Here is a 21,166-nt window from a genome sequence, read left to right as displayed (position 1 = left end):
CATTGCACCGCAACCAGCTAAGTTTTTGTATTTTTGGTGGAGACAGTTTCACTATGTTGCTCAGGCTGGTCTCAAACTCTTGAGCTTGAACGATCTGCCTGCCTTGGCCTCCCAAAGCATTTTCTTCCATCTTCTAAGCCACCAACATGACATCTTCAAATCTCTGTTGCCATCCTCGCATTTCCTTTTCTGACTCTGACCCTCCTGCGCCCTCTTAGAGGAACTCTTGTGATTTCATTATGCCCTTGGAGAACCCAAAATCTCAAGATCCTTAATCACATTCACAAAGTACCTTTTGTGATATAAGGTAACATTCACAGGTTCTGGGGACTGGGACATGGACATCTTCGGAGGGTCATCATTGACCTTTCCGTTTGTACCATAAGTACAAAGGGAAACAGTGTCACATAATAATTTCCTGTATGGCCAACTTTTTCTTGCCAATAGAAGGAAAGGAATTTGCTGATGCTGGTGTGAGTTCTTATTCTAACTCGCTAGATGTCATTCCAAATGCCTTTATCATTTTAAATACCAAATATATATGGCATTCCGAATGATGAGTAACAGGAGACTATAAATAGGCCTCAAAGGCTGGAAAGTCTTAACAACAGAGCAGGAAAGTCTAAAATTACTTAAAAATTATTAAAGTGCAGTCCCTTTGCTTAATTTTTTAAAAGTGTTAGGCCTTAGATGCTTAGGATAAAAAGCCATCACCATCTTGATATTCTCTCTACTTAAAGGAAATCCATGTCTTTTAAAATCAATGTCTTTAAAACCACTCATTCTTCATTAAATTGTTGATTTAACCAATCAGTGTCTACTGAGCACTCACAATGTGCTAGGCACTGCAGTGGGCACTGGGCATAATATTGACCAAAATCAATATGATTTCCGCCCTTATAAGCTTACAGTCTCGTGGGAGATAGGAAAAGCAAGGAAATTATTAGCACACTGTGCAATAAGCGTGTGATAGGAATGATTCTCACTGCCGTCCAGTTATACCCCAGTCTTAGTGCTGGGCACTGTCCCTTCCATTCCACCATTTCATTCCTGGGTGTCAGGGTCCCATCACCTTCTGTTGGAGGAAAAACTTAGGAGTATTCCAAGCGCTTGATAAATGGAAGGGAGCAGCAACCCACACATTTCAATGAGAAAGCAACAATTTACGTATTATAATGGAAACTGTCAAGGAGAAGATGCACCCTTTTGGGGTACTGTGTGGTATGCCCTAGAATGGCAATGAATGGTTAGCAGGCATTGGTTGGGCTTTAACATGAATCCTGGTGTTGTTCACTATACAGTTAGCGATTCTGATGCTTGCCCCACTGCTGTGTGTTTGTCCTGCTAGGTTGGCCTCTCATTCCCACTCCCACCTCCTCTAAGGCCATGCACTTCCCTCCCCCATCACGTTCCTGCTCCTCCACCCAATCTCCACTTACACGCAGGGTAGGGAGGGGAGGCTTCATTTTCTTTCATCCTCTTTCTTCTGTTATTTTTACGGTCTAAACTCTGTTCTCTGATTCCCTCAGGACATATCTTCAGATATTCAAAATCCTGTTTAGAAGTTTTTAAAAAAAGAAACACTGAACATTGACTGTTTCCTGCTTTTTAAATTCCTGCTTTAACAATCCTCCTTCTCCTCCAGGCAAAGTAGATGCCTCTGACAACGGAAAAGTCACGCAAGCACAAGGATGCTGGGAAAAGCAAAGCACAAAGGCTTATGTTTGGAGATATTATCAGGCGCTTACTGTTATGACAGGGGAAGTTCAGGATGCAAAGGGGCCAGAGGCACCGTCTCCAATCAGATCCCACAGGGCCTTGTAAGGAATGCTAAGAGAGCTGGTCTTCGCTGCGAGAGCGGTACAGAGCCACCTAATGGTCTTGAGCAGGGAGGTGTCAGGATCAGATTTTCAAGTTAGAATATCAGTTTGGTAGCAGTGTGGAGAACAAGGAGAGAAAAGACTCAGGGTACGGAGAGCAGCAAGAACACAGATGCATACTTGAAGTGAGAAATGAGCGTGGCTTGCACTGGGATAATAGAGCGGGTTTGGAAGGGACTGGATGCTTTTGTGAGACATTTAGGAAGTCCAGTGGGCAAAGCTTAGTGGCTGGTTGAATGTGGGACATGGAGAAAGAAGAGGGGTCAAGGATGATTTCCCGGCGATTCCTTGAGAATGACTGAACTTCTTATTTATGTGAGACAAGGAGCATGGGAAGATGAGCAGGTGGGGTGGAGGAGGGGAGCCAAGAGAGTGAGTCCAGCTTGAGGCGTGTTGAATCTGGACACTCAAGTGGAGAAGTTAAATAGGCAGTTGGATATCAGATCTGGGGCTCAGAAATGAAGTTTGGGCTGAAAATAGAGACTTGGGATTCATCAGGGTAAAGCTGATAATTACAGCTACGAGCAAGATTGAGAATATTTAGGGAAATATTTTGAAAATGAGGGCATATAAGGGGACCAAGTCAGGACCTTGAAGAATATTGGTATTTTAAAGATAGAGAGGGAAACAAGTCTGCCAGGGAACCTAAAATGGAACTGTAGGCAGAGAACCAGGAGAGTGGCACGTTGCAGACTGTAAGGAAAAATGTGTGTGTGTGTGTTTGTGTCGTTTAAATGGGTATGGTAAACAACAACAAAAGCTGTGGAGAAGTCAGGAAGGAAAGAATATTATGTACCAGCAAGGTTATTAAGCAGTTTCAGAACCTTAGTGGGGCAGAAATCAAATCACGGTGGTTTACAAACTGAAGGGGATTTAAGAAAATGAGATCATTGATCATTAGAGAAATGCAAATCAAAACCGCAATAAGATACCATCTCACACCAGTCAGAATGGCTATTACTAAAAAGTAAAAAAATAACAGATGCTGGTGAGGTGTGATGGCTCATGCCTGTAATCCCAGCACTTTGGGAGACTGAGGTGGCCAGATCACTTGAGGTCAGGAGTTGGAGACCAGCCTGGCCAGCATGGTGAAAACTCGTCTCTACTGAAAATACAAAAATTAGCCAGGCATAGTGGCACATGCCTGTAGTCACAGTTACTCGGGAGGCTGAGTCAGGAGAATCGCTTGAATCCGGGAGGCGGGCATTGCAGTGAGCCAAGACTGCCTCACTGCACTCCAGCCTGGGCAACAGAACGAGACTCCATCTCAAAACAAAACAAAAACAAACAAACAAAACAGATGCTGGTGAAGTTGTGGAGAAAAGGGAAGACTTAAACACTTTTGGTGGGAATGTAAATTAGTGCAACAGTTGTGGAAAGCAATGTAAGCAGCATGGCGATTCCTCAAGGAGCTAAAAGCAGAACTAAATTCCACCCAGCAAACCTATTACTGGGTCTATACCCAGAGGAATATAAATCATTCTACCATAAAGACACATGCATGCGAACATTGATTGCAACACTTCACAAGAGCAGAGACATGAAATCAACCTAAATGTCCATCAATGACAAATTGGATAAAGAAAATGTGGTACATATATATACCATGAAATACTATACAGCCATAAAAATGAAGAAGATCATGCTTCTGTGGGAACATGGATGGAGCTGGAGGCCATTATCCTTAGCAAATTAATGCAGGAACAGAAAACCGAATACCTCATGTTCTCACTTATAAGCGGGGGCTAAATGATGAGAACGCATGAACACAAAGAAGGGAACAGCAGACACTGGCGTCTACTTGAGGGTGGAGAGTGGGAGGAGGGAGAGGAGCAGAAAAGATAACTATTAGGTACTAGATTTAGTACCTGGATGATGAAATAAACTGTACAACAAACTCCCATGACATGAGTTCACCTATGTAACAAACCTTTACATGTACCCCCCAACCTAAAAGTTTTTTTAAAAAAGAAAGAAAATGGGATCAGTGAGGGGAGACAGATTTTTCCAGAAGTATGGCTGAAAACAGAAGGCAAGAGTCGGAGGGCAGGGGTGGGGTGTATAATTTAAAGTGGAAGGAACAAATATTTCTAAATGCTATTAGAATTTGAAAAAATCAATGGGCATTTCTAAGCTAAACAAATTTCAGATTATACTTTTCCCAACTATTAAATATCCAAAATAATTTGATTCATGAGTAAATTATGTAGCTAAGTTAAATAAAACCTTTCTTTTGACTGAAATAGCCAGAAAATAAAATGAAGTTAACTATGAGGTGTTTTTTAATTGGTCTAGTAATTTTGAATATATTATGTGTTAAAAGAATGAGACAGTATCATTTCAAAGAATTCTTTCTGTTAAGATGTAATATGAAAATATCTAACATTCTTGATTTTGCTTTCTAATTGTTCTTGTATTGATATATGTATGTATATCATATGTACAACATAACATATATGTATATGTTATGACATTTGTACATACTTATGGGTTACATGTGATATTTTGTTACATACAATGTGTAGTAATCAAGGTAGAGTAATTAGCATATCCATCACCTCAAACATTTATCATTTCTTTGTGTTGGGAATATTTCTTTTTCTTCTTTTTCTTTTTTCTTTCTTTTTTTTTTTTTTTTGAGATGGAGTCTCTCTCTGTCACCCAGGCTGGAGTGCAATGGCATGATCTCAGCTCACTGCAACCTGCGCCTCTCGGGTTCAAGTGATTCTCCTGCCTCAGCCTCCTGAGTAACTGAGATTACAGGCACCCGTCACCATGCCAGGCTAATTTTTGTATTTTTAGTAGAGACGGGGTTTCACCATGTTGGCCAGGCTGGTCTTGAACTCCTGACCTCAGGTGATCCACCCGCTTCAGCATCCCAAAGTGCTGGGATTACAGGCATGAGCCACTGCACCCGGCCTGTTGGGAACATTTCAAATCTTCTTTTCTAGCTATTTTGAAATATACAATAAATTATTAACTATAGTCAACCTACTGTGCTATTGAACACTAGAACTTATTCTTTCTATCTACCTGTATGTTTGTATCTGTTAACCAAACTCTCTTCATCCCCCCAACCTCCACCACTTCCCCACACCCTTTTCAGCCTCTGGTAACTCTTGTTCTATTCTCTACCTCCACGAGATCCACTTTTTTAATTAGCTCTCACATGTGAGTGAGAAGATGTGATATTTGTCTTTCTGTACCTGGTTTATTTCACTTAACATAATGACCTCCAGTTCCATCCATGTTGCTGCAAATACAGGGTTTTATTCTGTTTTTATGGCTGAATGGTATCCCATTGTGTATTATACCATATTTTTGTATCCATTCACCCACTGATGGACACTTAAGTTGATTTCATATCTTGGCTACTTTAAATACTGCTGTAATAAACATGGGGGATGCAGGTATCCTTTTGATATACTGATTTTCTTCCCTTTAAATAAATATCCAGCAGTGGGATTGCTGGAATCTATGGTAGTTCTATTTTCAGTTTTTTTGAGAAACTTTCATTTTGTTTTTCCATAATAACTGTACTAATTTACATTTATAACAACAGTGTATGAGTTCCCTTTTCTCCGTATCCTTGCCATCATTTGTTATTTTTTTGTCATTTTGATAACAGCCATTCTTAATTTGGCTGAGGTGATATCTCATTGTGGCTTTGATGTGCATTTCACTGATGGTTAGTAATGTTAAGCATTTTTCCTATACCTGTTGGCCATTTGTATGTTTTCTCTTGATAAATGTCTGTTCAGATCCTTTACCTACTTCTTAATGGGATTTTTTTTTTCTGTTAAGTTGTCTGAGTTTCTTGTATATTCTGGATACTAGTCATGTGTCAGGTGAATAGTTTGCAAATATTTTTTATCATTCTACAGTTTGTCTCTTTGTTGATTGTTTCCTTTGCTGTGCAAAAGATTTTAGTTTAATATAATCCCATTTATCTATTTTTGGTTGCATTGCCTGTGCTTTGGAAGTTTTAGCCATAAAATCTTTGCCTAGGCCAATGTCTTGAAGTGCTTCTCCTATATTTTTTCTAGTAATATTATAGTTTTGGGTCTTACATTTAAGTTGTTAATCCATTTTGAAATTATTTTTGTATAGGGTGAGATACAGGGGTCTAGCTTCATTCTTCTGCATATAGATATCCAGTTTTTCCAGCACTCTTTATTGAAGAGGATGTACTTTCCCCAGAGTATGTTCTTGGCATTTTTGTCAAAAATCAGTTGGCTGTAAATACTGAATTTGTTTCTGGGTTCTCTATTCTGTTCCATTGGTTGATGTGTATGTTTTTATACCAATACCATGCTGTTTTGATTACTATAACTTTGTGGTATATTTTGAAGTCAGGTTGTGTGATGCCTCCAGCTTTGTTCTTTTTGCTCAGGATTGCTTTGGCTATTTGGGGTCTTTCGTTGTCACTTCTAGAATATTACCGTTCTCTCATCTTCTTTAAAAACATGCTATGGGGTTGATAATAAGCTGCTGTAACACTCTCCGCCCTTCCTTTTCCCTGATGTCAACTGAGTTCTGGGTCACATGCCCATAGTGTTTCATTTCTTCCATTCAGCCTATAGTAATTGATATTCGCTTAGGCTCTGGGTTGCTTATGCTGCTTTCCTTCTTAGTCAACCTCTCCAGGTGACTTATCATAAGATCTGGTTAAACCAGCATTGTTTTTATTTCATAAAGTGTCTCTCAAAGAGCTAGTTTTAGGAGAGGAAGAAGTTGGTTCTTGGTGCTTTATATTCAGTCTTTGGTTTCCTTACAGAAAACCTTTTAAAATACTGGTCAAAATTCAAAGACTTATTTAGTCAAAACTGGTAATATAATCTGTAAATGCTTCATGTGGGCTGAGATAAACTGCCTTTCATCATCATCTTGAGAAAATGAGAGTGGTTTCTGCTCTCAAATCTGCATTCAGGAAGCCCACTTTCTTCTCAGAATATCTTCCTATCTACACGTGACATGTGACTGTCTGATATGTGGCTCAAGCAAAGACATAGTCTCCATCATTTTCCTAACTATTAGTAGTGAATAACGTCTTTATCAAAAATTTTAGATAAATATAAGTACAACTTTATGTTAATAAAACTATAAGAAAAAATGATACACATATTGGGAATAAAGAAGTCAAATGATCTTTACTTGCAGATAACATGATGGTTTATAAAGAAAATGCCTTAAAAATTTTACAAAACAACTATAGATGTTTCTTGACTTATGGTGGGGTTACATCCTGATAAACCCATCATAAATTGAGAATACCGTTAGTCAAAAATGCATTTAATACATCTAACCAACCAAACATTATAGCTTAGCCTAGCCTACCTTAAATGTGCCAAGAATACTTATTAACCTAGAGTTGAGCAAAACCATCTAACGCAAAGCCTATTTATAAGAAAGTGTTGAGTACTTCATGTACTTTATTTAATGCTATACTGAAAATGAAAAATAGAATGGATGTATGGGTACTTGAAATACAATTTCTACTGAATGTATATTGCTTTAGCACTATTGTAAAGTCACAAAATCATAAGTCAAATCATTGTAAATTGGATATAATCTGTACTAGAATAAGTAAATTTAGCAAGGTCACAGTGAGAGTTGAAGCCAGCTGAGCTTCTGGGTCGGGTGGGGACTAGGAGAACTTTTATGTCTAGCTAAAAGATTGCACATGCACCAATCAGCACTCTGTGTCTAGCTAAAGGATTGTAAATGCACCAATCAACACTCTGTAAAAACGGACCAATCAGCACTCTGTAAAATGGACCAATCAGCAGGATGTGGGTGGGGCCAAATAAAAGAATAAAGGCTGGCCACCTGAGCCAGCAGCAGGAACCCAGTCGGGTGCCCTTCCATGTAGTGGAAGCTTTTTTCTTTTGCTCTTCACAATAAATTTTGCTGCTGCTCTGTTTTTGGGTCTGCACTACCTTTATGAGCTGTAACGCTCACCCTGAGTGTCTGCAGCTTCATTCCTCAAGTCAGCAAGACCACGAACCCACTGGGAAGAACAAAGAACCCCGGACATGCCAATTTTTTTTTTTTTTTTTTTTTTGAGGTGGAGTCTCACTCATGTTGCCCAGGCTGGAGTGCAGTGCCACGCTCTTGGCTCAGTGCAAGCTCCACATTCTGGGTTCAGGCCATTCTCCTGTCTCAGCTTCCCGAGTGGCTAGGACTATGGGCACCTGCCACCATGCCTGGCTAATTTTTTCTATTTTTAGTAGAGACGGGGTTCGGACACGTGACTTTTAAGAGCTGTAACACTCACTGCGAAGGTCTGCCACTTCATTCCTGAAGTCAGCGAGACCATGAACCCGTCAGAAGGAAGAAGCGCTGGAACATCTGAACATCTGAAGGAACAAACTCCGGCCATACCATCTTTAAGAACTGTAACACTCACCAGGAGGGTCCACGGCTTCATTCTTGAAGTCAGCGAGACCAAGAACCCACCGGAAGGAACCAATTCCGGACATAACAGGGTCCATGATCAATATGCAGGAATTAACTGCATATACATAAAATATTAGGTTGGTGCAAAAGGAAATGCAATTCTTGCCATTACTTTTAACGGAAAAAAATGCAATTACTTTTCCACCACCCTAATAACAGCAAACACTAGAAGAATGAAAAATGTTTTAAAGTAATTTGAAACAGATTTCTAAAACTGTAAAATATTAAGGGGTAAAGTCAGTGAAAGACAAGATCTCCACCCTGAAAACTACAGAACATTTATAAGAGAAATTAAAGAAATCAAAATATATACCATGTTCATAAATAAGATTCAATAGTCTTAAGATGTCAGTTATCCTCAAGCTTATCTGTGGATTTAATACAGTCTGTCAAAATCCTAAGACATTTTGTAGAAACTGAAATGCTTGACTGGATGCGGTGGCTCACCCTTTAATCCCAGCACTTTGGGAGGCCAAGGCGGGCAGATCACGAGGTCAAGAGATCAAGACCATCCTGGCTAACATGGTGAAATCCCATCTCTACTAAAAATACAAAAAATTAGCTGGGCGTAGTGGCGGGTGCCTGTAGTCCCAGCTACTCAGGAGGCTGAGGGAGGAGAATGGCGTGAACCTGGGAGGTGGAGCTTGCAGTGAGCCGAGATCGCACCACTGCACTCCAGTCTGGGTGACAGTGCGAGATTCTGTCTCAAAAAAAAAGAAGGAAACTGAAGAGCTTATTCTAAAATTTATCTGGGAATGTAAAGGGCCTTGGGTAGTCAAAATTGTCTCAGAGGAAAAAAAAAAAAGAACCAAGCTGGAACCAAGTACATAATTTAAAGGCTCATTATTAAGTTCTATAATCAAGACAGTGTGATATTGGTGTAAGGATGTACAAACAGATCAGTGGAATACAATAGAGTTCACTCATAAACCCATACATTTATGTTGAAATTATTTTCAACAAGTATGTCAGGAGAATTCAATAGGGAAAGTGAAGTTGCTTTTTTTTTTTCCAACAAAATAGTTCTGAAACAATTGAACAAATGCATGGGGTAAAATCAACTTAAACCACACCTTCTACCTCACAAAAGTTAACTTGAGATAGATCGTAGACTATATTTAAAAGCTAAAACCATAAGGATTCTAGAAGAAAACATAGAATAGTATCGTTGTGACCTTGGGACAGGGATATATTTCTTAGAAAGCACAAAGAAACACTAAAACTAACAGAAAAAATAATAATAAATTGGACTTCAGAAAAATGGTTAAAAGTCACTGTTAAGAAAATGAATCAACAAGCCACAGACTAGGAGAAGATATTTCTAGTACATATATCTGACAAATACAGGCATCCAGGATACACAAAGTTAAGACAATGTTGAGTTATCAGACCAACAGGTTCTGTGAGAACATGATAAATTTATCTGCAAATAGGTATGATGACCATCCCATGACACCCTGAGGCCAGCTCAAGGGCCCCAGTGGAGGTTTCTAGCAAGAGTATCCTTTCCCAGATACAGACATCCCAGAAAATGATTGCAACACTTTCCCAGTTCGATTTATTCACCAAAATATAGTTAGTAAAATCTTCCCAGAGAACTTTTGTAAGCCAACTTGTAACAGTGTATTTTCATGCAATATCCAGTTTAGCTAAACTCTCTGATTTTGCAACTGCAGAAAACCCTGGAGGATTTGGGAAACTGCTCCAGAAGGTTTTTGAAAATCCTATGTGTGGGTGGGTAATCAGGGCTGTGGTAATTTAATTCAATAAAGGATAATTATAGAAAGTTATCAGAGTCAAAGAATCTCAGAAGGAAACATTTATACAGTCTCTTTTCTCAGAGAGCTGTGCTTCAGAGAATTGGTTGGTGAGTCTAGTTGGAAGGTTTATATGAGTGAATTTCTGCCTTCAAGTGCACAGTTTTCTGAGGATGAAAGTAGAATGCACTATGGTGAACTAAGAGGATTATTTTAATGCTATAAATGAACATTTTAGCTAATCAAGCATTGTGCACTGGTGAGAAGAGTTTAAATTCTGAGGTCTCAATCAAAGTATTGGAAAGGCTTTCACTCTCAGATTACAGCCAAAAGAATGCCATTTTTCCTGATTATTAAAGCAATATTTGCATATTGTAGAGATTTTGTAAGGCTTTCAAAAATCCTTGCTTTATTTTTAAAGCATGACAAAATCAGAAGGAAAAAATTGCTTACAATTCCACATTCAATTTTTCTTACTCATATTATCGTAGTTTAGACCATTTTGTATGTTGCTTTTTTCTCCTAACATCATATATAAGCATTTCTCTATATTTAAAGTTCTCCACAAATGATTTTTTTCTTTATCTCCCTATTGGTGGATATTCAAGTTGTTTCCACTTTATCTTTCTTTATTCAATAATGAATCATGTTATGATGAACATCCGTGTGCATTAATATTTTATCTATTTCAGAACGTATTTTTAGTCTTCTACTCTGAAGTTGTATTACTGTGTCAATGGAAATGAAAAACTTCCAGGAGCTCAATGTTCCATCAGACTGTTTCCAAAACTGTTGTACCAAGCTTCCATTTTATGAGTGCCCTAAGATTGCCTTTTCCACTATACCTTTGTCAGCACTTGGCATTCTCAGTTTAGAATCTTTGCCAATTTCAAAGGTAAAAAACACTCTCTCTTTGGACCTATTATTTAGAAATTAGTAAATTCAATTAATTTTTGCTTATTTTAGTGGCTCATTTCCCAACTTAGGATATATTTATTCTTAGTTGAAAAAGACATGAAAAGAAAAACTTCCCTCCAATTGTCAATTGCCCCCCACCCCGCGAATCATTTCTGATCATCTTTCCTGCTCTTTCATACTAACATTCCACTTTCCTCCTCCCAATTATGAAGGCTGATTACAATGTCCACCAGATGTTGATGTGGCTGTTGGATAGGATCGTGGGGGAAGGATAGATGCAAGAAGTTGCCTTTAGCTGTTTTCATGTTTGAACCAGAAGACTGGTTCAAAACATCCCTATAACATGGATTGAATACTATCTATTTTCTAAAATTATCAGAATAGCCTGAATCTGACTTCTGAGAGCCTGTGACCTGGGGTTCAGCTTCACATCACTTCTTGTGACATTATCAGTTTACTGATTATTGACTTGGCATGGTTAGAAGACCTGGCATTCCATATCCCCAGAGGCATACTTCTTCTCCACGTTTCTTTTGGCAGACAGCTAGACCATTTTTGAGCATCTAAATCTTGAGGATACAAAAACATCAATTTCTTCCTCCCTTAAAACCTGTATTCGCTCAGGTCTCTGTAGTACAAGAAGAACAACCTAAGAATGGGGTAGGGCACACTGGCTCAGGTGACCCAATTAGTAGCAGTTATTTGGCAATAGAATTTTATTGTTTTAATAAAAGGGCTACACTACGGAGAGTAAGAGGGAAGTGGAGAAGTAGATGGATAGAGACAGAGAGAGAGAGAACCCCAAAGAGATAAACAGAACTAGAGAGAGAGAGAGAGAGAGAGAGAGAGAGAGAGAGAACAGAAAAAGACACACAGAGACAATCAGACACAATGAGAAACAGATTGTGTCTGCCTGTCTCTGAGAAACAGAGAGAAACACTAATGTGTAACAGGGGATTTAACTTTTAAATATGCAGTGCTGCTGTCCTAAAATATACCTTTGCCTGCAAGGCTGCTGCAGGTTCATTTCAGCACTTGGAAAAGCTGGCCTGATTTGCACAGTCTCTCAGAGGTTCCCCACTGGGTCTCTGCCCAGGAGTCTGTCTCCTTGTTGATGACTACCTTCAGGCAGATAACTGCTTCTAGGTGAAAGGACATGAGGCATCCAACTATTGAGCTGATGATTCCATTAGATTATTCTACAATAATTAAGTCGCAGAGTAGAACTCAGGGTGAGGAAGTAAAATCCATAGATAAGAAATGAAAAGACAGTGTTTTCGTTCTTTCTTTTTCCTTTCTCAGCATATTATGTCTCTAATATTTTCATTCTTCAGATAACTAGAAAGCCTTAGGGACTCCTAGGAAATAGTGAATAATTAATAATGAGGAATTCAGATCTTTCAGTCAATGAGTGAGACCAGAAGACTTGAAGGCTGTTCTTTGGTGGAAGGTCTCCCTAAGGTCCTCCACTGAGGTGGTCCTGTTTGCCAGCCTCTGCAGATTTCAAGATGAGACACATGTAATAATTACGTCAGATATTGCTGCTGAGCCTGTGGGTTGCAGCTTTTGGAAGAGCAGGTGGGCAGTGTACTCTGTGAAGTGCTGATGGTCCATTCTCAAGGGAAACACCTGGAAAATGTTGCAATGGAGTAGAGAAGGAAAATGAGCTCCGGGAGGATTTCATCAGAAATTCACAGTTAAATATATTTGTATTGATTTGATATAGGATTGGGGGCTGAAGATCCCAATGTGCAGTAGAAAGAAGATAGGTAAGTGTGGGAATTGCCCTAAATTCCTCCAAATTGCTAATACTCCCCATAGAAATAGACTGTGCAAGACAACAATACAACCTTTGCTTGTTGATGTTAACCTATCTCAGATGAAGGCTGACTTGCTTGGGGCTTTTGTAAAGAAGCTCTTGCAAGACTAAGTGTGTGATCATTTCCTTGTCATCACAGATTTGATCCAATCTTTTTATTGCCCTTGAGATTTGGGGACTTTAGAGTGTGCTGGTCCATGCCTTGTTCAGCAGATGGAGCTCTATAACTATGCAGGAAATGACATATCTAGGCGGGGACCCTTTTTTTAAAAAAAAATTCAAAAGAGATGATCAGACTTTGAGAGAGCTGAACACCATGGACTATGGTGGTAGAATTGTTCTTATGGAATTTTCTCAGAAGGAAGTGATTCTTGATGTGTTGCTTCTGAAAAGTGTGCAAACACAGCAAAAGTTAATGGTAAACATTTCCGTTTTACTATGATGGCTATTCTTTGCCATTATTCGAGGTCAATTAGATTTGATCTAGGGGGTTGGATTTGTTAATGTTATAAGCACATGTGGCACTGGTAATAATTACAACTTGCTAAGTAAGCAATGGGGAATTCATTGTTTAGCTTAGAACCACATCATCATTTCTCTTGATTTGTTCATTAGGTCCCAAGGTTCTAGCTCCATTAAGTTCTCAGAACTTTTATCTGTTCACTCACGTTTGCTTTCTCAAAGCAACTTAAAAAATATTTTGGCCAGGTGCCGTGGCTCACGTCTGTAATCCTAGCACTTTGAGAGACCGAGGTGGGCGGATCACGAGGTCAAGAGATCGAGACTATCCTGGCCAACATGGTGAAACCCCGTCTCTACTAAAAAAAATTTAGCTGGGTATGGTGGCATGTGCCTGTAATGCCAGCTACTTTGGAGGCTGAGGCAGGAGAATCACTTGAACCCGGGAGGCGGAGTTTGCAGTGAGCCGAGATCACGCCACTGCACCCCAGCCTGGGAGACAGAGAAAGACTCTGTCTCAAAAAAAAAAAAAAAATTCTTTCTTAAAAAGGTAACTTTCCTCAAATATGTCATATTTAATATAAACTCAGATAAAAGTGTTTGTGATCAAACAAAAATGCCAATAACAAATGTGTTAAGAAGAAAACAGACATCCATGTCATCTTCTCCACTACTCCTACTGAAATGCTGAAAATTCTATAAGAAATACTTGAAATCCATAAGACTTCAGTGCCCAGACACCATTCTGGCCATAGAGTTTATGCTTAGTTGAAGTTAGTTGATGAATGAATAGTTGTCTAGGTGAGTAGATGGACAGAAGGATGGATGAATGGTTGGACTGATGGACAGATGGATAGATGGATGGATGAATGGATGGATGGATGAACAGATGGATGGATGGACAGATGGATGGATGGATGGATGGATGGGTGGATGGATGGATGGATGAATGGTTGGCTGGCTGGCTGGCTGGCTGGTTGGATGGATGGATGAAGGAAGAAAAGAAGGGAGGGTGAGAAGGGTGGATGGATGGGTGGCTCAAGGTTTCTGTGATCTTTGCTGAAATTTGTCCATGGTGCAGGACTGTTATTGGTGCTTCCAGAAAAGTACACAATGATTACTTTATGGAGCTTGCTAAGAAAACCTAGCCAAAATAAATCTTGTTTTACTTCCCTCCATAGTTTAAAAGGTGCTATATAGCATATTTTGTCTCTAAAGTCTGCAGACTTCTAAATTAATCAGAAATAATAGACAAATAGTGCAGTAACATTTTTATTTTCTTCAGCACAGCAGAAACAAGAAAGTAAATTTTGGAACTGGTATAAACTAGTTTTTATGAATTTGAGACTTGCCTGCAGAATATTTGCCAAGAGTTGAGTAAGACTAGAATGATGAAGTGTGGTATTTGTTCAGTTCAACAAACAGTAATTGAAAACGTACCATGTGCCAGGAAGTATACTAGGCATTGGGAGACTAAAAGTGAATAAATCCATTTCTGACTCTGAGGATGACACAATCTCATGGAGCAAGTGATATAAATAGACGATTTTGGTACACCATGGTAAAGTGATGTGATTACCACTAGTATCAGAAGAGGAGGACTACATTATAATATTCTTGAAAGCAAAGATTACCTTATTAATCTTTATCCCCAAGTGCCTAGCAGAGTGTCTGGAACATGGCAGGGGCTGTATACATATTATTGAATGAATGAATGAAATCTTGGGGTTGAAAAATGTCTTGAAGGAGACAATCCCTAGAACATCAACAACAATAAACATAATGAAGATCATGAACAGTACTCATTGAAAGCTCATTATGTGCAATGCATAAAATACTAATTCATACCATCACAATAAGTCTAAGATAGATGCAATATTTAGATAGAATATCCGCATTGTACTGAGAATAAACAGATACGAATTCCCAGCTACTAAGTGTTAAGGCCAAGATCAAATCCAGCACCCTCCTGAAATATGGAGGGGCATTTAGGCACATGAAACATGAAGCACAAAGACAGAACAGTGAGACGTCAACATCTGCAGCAATGTAGTAAGGAGCTTGGATTTTATGCTGTAGGAGATCAGAAAGCACTGAATCGTTCGATCAAAGAAGTGACGTGGTTAGATATGCGTTTTAGCTAGGTCATTCCAGTTGCTGGTTGGGGGCTGGGTGTAATCCTTCAGAGTAAGATTGGAGGAGTGCTGAAGGATAAAAAGAGTTCACCTTATGAAAGATGGGGGGGCAAGGGAAGGGTTTCAGGCAAGGGGCAGAGGATGTGCAGAGGCTGGGAGATGAGAGTAGACATTCACAGTGAACCTGGAGTATTTAATCTGGCTGTAGCATAAATCCCCAGAGTAAAAAGAGATAAAGGTAATGAGAAATGATGTCAAAGAAGTAAATGGGAACCATATTGAGGAGTTTGGACTTTATCCAAGAAAAAAAGTGAGACCGCTAAAGAGTTTTTAAGCCTAAGGGTGAGATGATTATGTGTATGTTTTAGAAAGAGCCCTCTGTTCGGTGGAAAATAGACCAGAAACTGGAAAGATTGCGAACAGGAAAATGTGTTTGGAAGCCCTCACCATAATCTAAACAGGAGATGATGGCAATCTGAAATAGAGCAGCCGTGTTCAAGAGCTATTTAAAGGATGAAATCGACAGGATTTTGAGTGAGTGATCATCAAGGAAGGAAGTAATACGAGAAAGTAAGAAGCAGAGTCATCGTAGGTCCTTCTACTTAGAAGTGGAAGATATCTCACAGGGTTTTGGCTTGATCAACAGAATGGATGCCAATCACTGAGATAGGAAATGAGGGAGAATGAGCAGGTATCTGGGTGATCCAGAGTGGCGAGGATAAATTCTGGACATATTAAGTGCCTGGGATTAGAGGACAATGGGAGTCTTGAAGCTCACGTGACATGTCTGGGATAGAGATGTAGCTTTAGAAGTCATTCGTGTAAAATTAATAGTATTAGATGCAATGAACACTTTTGAGCAGCTGTTACAGATGAGGAAATGCTCTGGGACATTCTGTCTTTAGGACGAGGGGATTCGTGAACATTTGGAGCAAATCAATTAATCAAATATTTTCAGTGTGCCTACAACTGAGTAGATGAATATTTCGAGTACAGGGCTGGTTAGTGGGAAGCTTCTAAGTAGGACACATAACTGGTTGTAACTGGGGTTGCCACTGGTGCCTGGGGGCATAGGGTCATGTTACTTATAGAAGAATGTTAGACTTGGTTGCCATCATGAAGGAGATTATTGTCTAGTGAGATACAACTAACTGTCCAACTAACTATTGTCTAGTTAGTGAGATACAACTAACACAGAAGAAACAATAAAAATAATGCATTTATTTTTAAAAGGATACATTTATGTATGCTAAGTTGGCAGTACAAACTAAGGGTGTTTTAGAATTTCCAAACACGGAGGGAACACTGTGGGCTGGAATAGTGGCAGACATTTGTTAACTTGGCATTGCATTTTCCTGGAATGTTTTTGGGAACAGGAGTAGATGGGCCTGAATGAGCAGTTCGTTTGCATGGGTTGTATGAGCCCTCACACTGCTATACCCTGTTTTGCCTCATCTCTGGACAACTCAGGTGTATCAGCGTGCATATCGTTTCTCTAGCTAACAAAGTTGAAGAGATCACATGGCAAGCTTCAGAGAGGTGATGGACCTGGGCATTTTGGAATGGGCATCCCAGGCTTGGCAAACACGATGGGCAATGAGCATATGAGTGGGCTGAAAATGAGTCTGGCAAATATGAGAAGCATTGAGGAGACTGTTAAGTACCTGAAGGCTTGTGTTGAGCAACGACAAGGGGCTCTTAGCTGGAGCTCTCTTTCTGCCTCACTTAGCGAGCTCCAGCTCATCTTCAAGACCTCTCCAATTGTCACTACCTCCATAAAACTTTCTGTGATTCTTCTGGGCAGTCAGGCTGTCCTCTCTATGTGCTTCCAAGGCATTTGATTACACCTCTTATTGTAGCATCAATCACACTGCTCTGAACTTGTTCACAAGTCTGTCTCCTCCATAGACTATGAGTTCCTTCGGGGATATAAACTATGTCTCTTTTTTTTTTGCCACCCCAGGCTCCTAGTACAAGGCACTATAGAAGAATGTTGATTAATGTTAGCAGATAAAAGATTTAAATAACAGATATGGTAGGACTTAGCTCTTCTCCAAATAGGTTTACTCACTGAACTCAGAACAATCTTCTGCCCTCTTCACATTGACACTGTTCCTCTCTTAACTCCTCTCTTGAAGTCCTGTGCATTCTTCCAGGTACTGCTCAAAGCCTATAGCTTCTGTGCAGCCTTCCATGACATGGAACACACCCCCTTGTCAGCAATCTTTGGCTCCTCTAAACTCAGAGGCATACTCTCCTAGACCTCAATTCCACTATTTTATAGCTGAGAAAATGGAAACCTGCAAGTGTGGGATTGGAGTCATCCAGAAGTTACGAGAGCACAGCTCAGTGAAGCTGCCTTTCTATTGTCCAGACAAAGATGGACACAGCTGAACGACTGAAGTGATCTTGAGATCTTCACGGGGATCTTTTCTGTGCAACGGCACCCCCTGTCTCCGTAGGGTTTGGTTGTATTTCAATGTGATTGTGCATCAAGTCTTCCAGCCCAGCCTATGCTTTCCGTGTTCTGTTTTGTGATTACAGTGGGTAAACCCATGCCTAAGGGGAATATACTGACATCTTCTTTCCAGATATTGCTGACCTTCTTGCCTGGATTTCTAAGCACAGCCAAACATTAATAACGCCACTTTTTCATTAGCACGTTCTTAGCAGAGCACTACATTAGGTAAACCTGAATAAAAGTGCCAGGACAAAGAGTTCAAATGCTTCGGGGTCTCCATGTAGCTGTTCTACCTGTAGTTAAACAAAAAGGAATGATCATTGCTTTCTTCCTCTGGGGAGCTTTCACCCATTTTAAAGTGGGCCAGTAACTCCTCGAACAAAGAGGAAGCAACCCATATTTAAAGCAGTGTCTGCTTGTTTCTGTTTTAGCCATTTTGGCAAACTCCTTGAAAAATGAAATCTTTGGGCCTAAACTCAGTTAAATCTCAGATGCATTTACCGTGCCAAGATAATTCCAGTTTAGCATCACCTCACATTATTTAAAGCTGTGACTGAGGAAGTATCCATAGCGGACATTGAACAGAAATGGCTTGACATTTTGCATATTATTTGTGTTTTGTTGTTGTTGTTGTTTACTTGCAAAGGTGGGCTTGGATATCAAAATATATGGCAAATGGGGCAGAGGGAGAAAAAGTAATTCATTGGTTTATCCTTTCAACAAATATGTTCCATGCATTTTGTTCCAGATACGGTATCAAGTGCTAGAAATAAAGAGATAAGCATGACCTAATCTCTGCTCTTGATAAGCTCATGGGGATACAAAGATTTATAACCAAGACGAGAAGCCCTAAAAATATAAAGTGCTAAGTGCTATATGCAGAGGCACTGATAATGGACCACCTACACTTCTATGGGAGGAATCATTTCAGCTGGAACTTAAAACGCAAGTGAAGTTTGCTCAGGGAGAAGAGAATTCTGGGCAGAGGAAAGAGTTTGGGTGAAGATAGAGAGACAGGAAAAGGCAGGGAGTATTCTAGAAGCAAGAAGTGATCGTAGGATGTAGGATGTTAGGGAGGCATCAGGCACATAAGTTGAGTCAGACACAAAAAGTCCTGAAAAACCATAATAAGGACTTGAGATTTATCCTGTAAGCACATGGAGGTATCCCTGATATCAAACAGGCAAGAAGGTCAGCAATATCTAGAAAGAAAGTGTCAGTGTACTTCCCCCTAGACAGAGGCCTACCACTGTGATCGCATTCCCTGTTTTTGAAAGAGAACACTGGCTGCAATGTGGACAATCTCTTGAACATGAAGACCAGGAGCAAGTTTGGGAGACTATCACGAATATCAGGGGAGAGATGATGGGAGACTAGATGAATGCAGTTGGCAGTGAGGAAGGAGAGAAGGGACCATTCCAAGAGAGATTTTGATGGTAAAACTGACAGGACTTAGTCTGATTGAATTTAGTTGGAAGGTGGAGGAGGCATCAAGGATGACTCTGAATTCCCACTTGGATGACTGTGGGATGCTGATAATAGGATACAGCAGAAGCCACTTGGGCTGGAGTTGGGGGAATGAAGGGTGAGTGAAAGGAAGGTAATAAGTTTGGTTTTGAACATGTCAAGTTCGATGTGTCTACAGAGCGTGTTGGTCAGTGGGACACAAATGTATCTACCTGGTCTCCCCAGACCTGTGGACTCAGCATGTTTGGTAAACAAGAGAGTTTCAAAATGGCTCCCTAAGTAAATTTAATAAGTTCTTCCCATCTCATCATTTATGTAGGTGGTTTCTAAGGTGCCCTTAGAATAAAATCCTTGTGCTCTACCATGGTCGAAAAATCCCCATGGGACCTGGCCCCTGCTTACCTCCTGACCCACTCCACTTGAGCCCCACTGGTCTTGTTTCTGTTCCTGAAACACCTGAGAGCTCTTCCTTATCTTAGAACCTTTGCATATGTTGTTGCTGCTAACCTTCCAGATCTTTTCATTTATGACTCCTTTGTATCATCATGATCTCAGCTTAAAATGATCTTTTCAGAGAGGCCTTCTCTGTCTACCCCACCTAAACTAAATGACCCTCTTTAGATCATGACGCATAACTCTCTTTATTGCCATTACAGAACTTTTATTATAAAATTATGTTGTTTATAATTTGGGATGCTTTTGAGGGGGCTGTGTTTTATTCCCCAACCTGACCCCTCTCCATGGATTCTCCATGAGAAGAGGGGTCCTGTTATCATAGCTCTAGCACCTAAAACAGTCATCAAAACATAGTAGGTGCTCAATAAATATTTGCTGAAGGATCTAATAAAGGAAGTAAGAAGGAAGGTAGGAAGGAAAGCAAGAGGAAGGCACTATGGGAGCCCAGAGCATTGCATCTGACTCAGACCACGGGAACCAGGGAAGTCTTATGAAAGAAGTGAGGTTGGACCAAGTCATGAAAAATAAGATACCAGCTAGACTGCGAGAATGAACCACTTTAGCTGGAATGGGCAGAGATGAGGCTGAGAGATGTCCAAGGGCCGGTGGTTGGATCCTTCTAGAAAAGACCACACAGCATCCTTTAGTGGCTGAAATGTGATGTCATAGATCTGTATTCTGGCAGATCTATTACTGGTTCCTGCTTCAGCAATCTTCTGCAGATTTGACATGACATGCCTTTATGTCACTTCTTCTCATATATTTCCCATCCTGGTTTCTCCTGTTAAATTTCTGTAAACTCCATGTATGCAATTAGAAGAGGTAATTTGAAGAAAGGAAATAAGAAGGGAAGTTCCAAAAAAAATCCTTTTTTTTTTCTTTTTGTCACTGCCTCCGGGAGCCTTGTCTCTGCTGAGAGAACAGGGCTCTGAGTGCTCGGTAGTGTTGTCTGTTGTTAGAATGAGCCACTGCTGTGTGCTATTTGTGCGAGATGTTGGCAAGAAGAATGCCGAGTGACTGCTGTTTCTCCGGGCCCCTCCAGAAAATGAGATGCCTGTCTCCCCAGGCCACTCAAGAGAGCCAAATTCTAAATAAAATAGAGCTGCATCTTCATGCAGACTGTTGTGTACGCTGCATTCAAAACACTTGTTTCTGCTAGTTTCTTTAACCAGTTTTCAGAGCTTGCATGGTTTTAGAACTTTCCTTACTTGCTTCCTGTGTCCTCATCTCATCCCCCTTTTCTATCTGTTTTCCTTTAACTCCACATCAGAAATAAAAACTGCACAAATTTAAAATCATTTAGTTGTAGACATGAGGATTAAACAGACAGGCATACATTTGAGAAAATAAGAGTG

The sequence above is a fragment of the Homo sapiens genome, chromosome 6 (genome assembly GCF_000001405.40).
Source record: "Homo sapiens chromosome 6, GRCh38.p14 Primary Assembly".
NCBI lineage: Eukaryota > Metazoa > Chordata > Mammalia > Primates > Hominidae > Homo > Homo sapiens.
The sequence above is the reverse complement of the archived record's forward strand: the minus strand, read 5'-3'. Positions refer to the sequence as shown.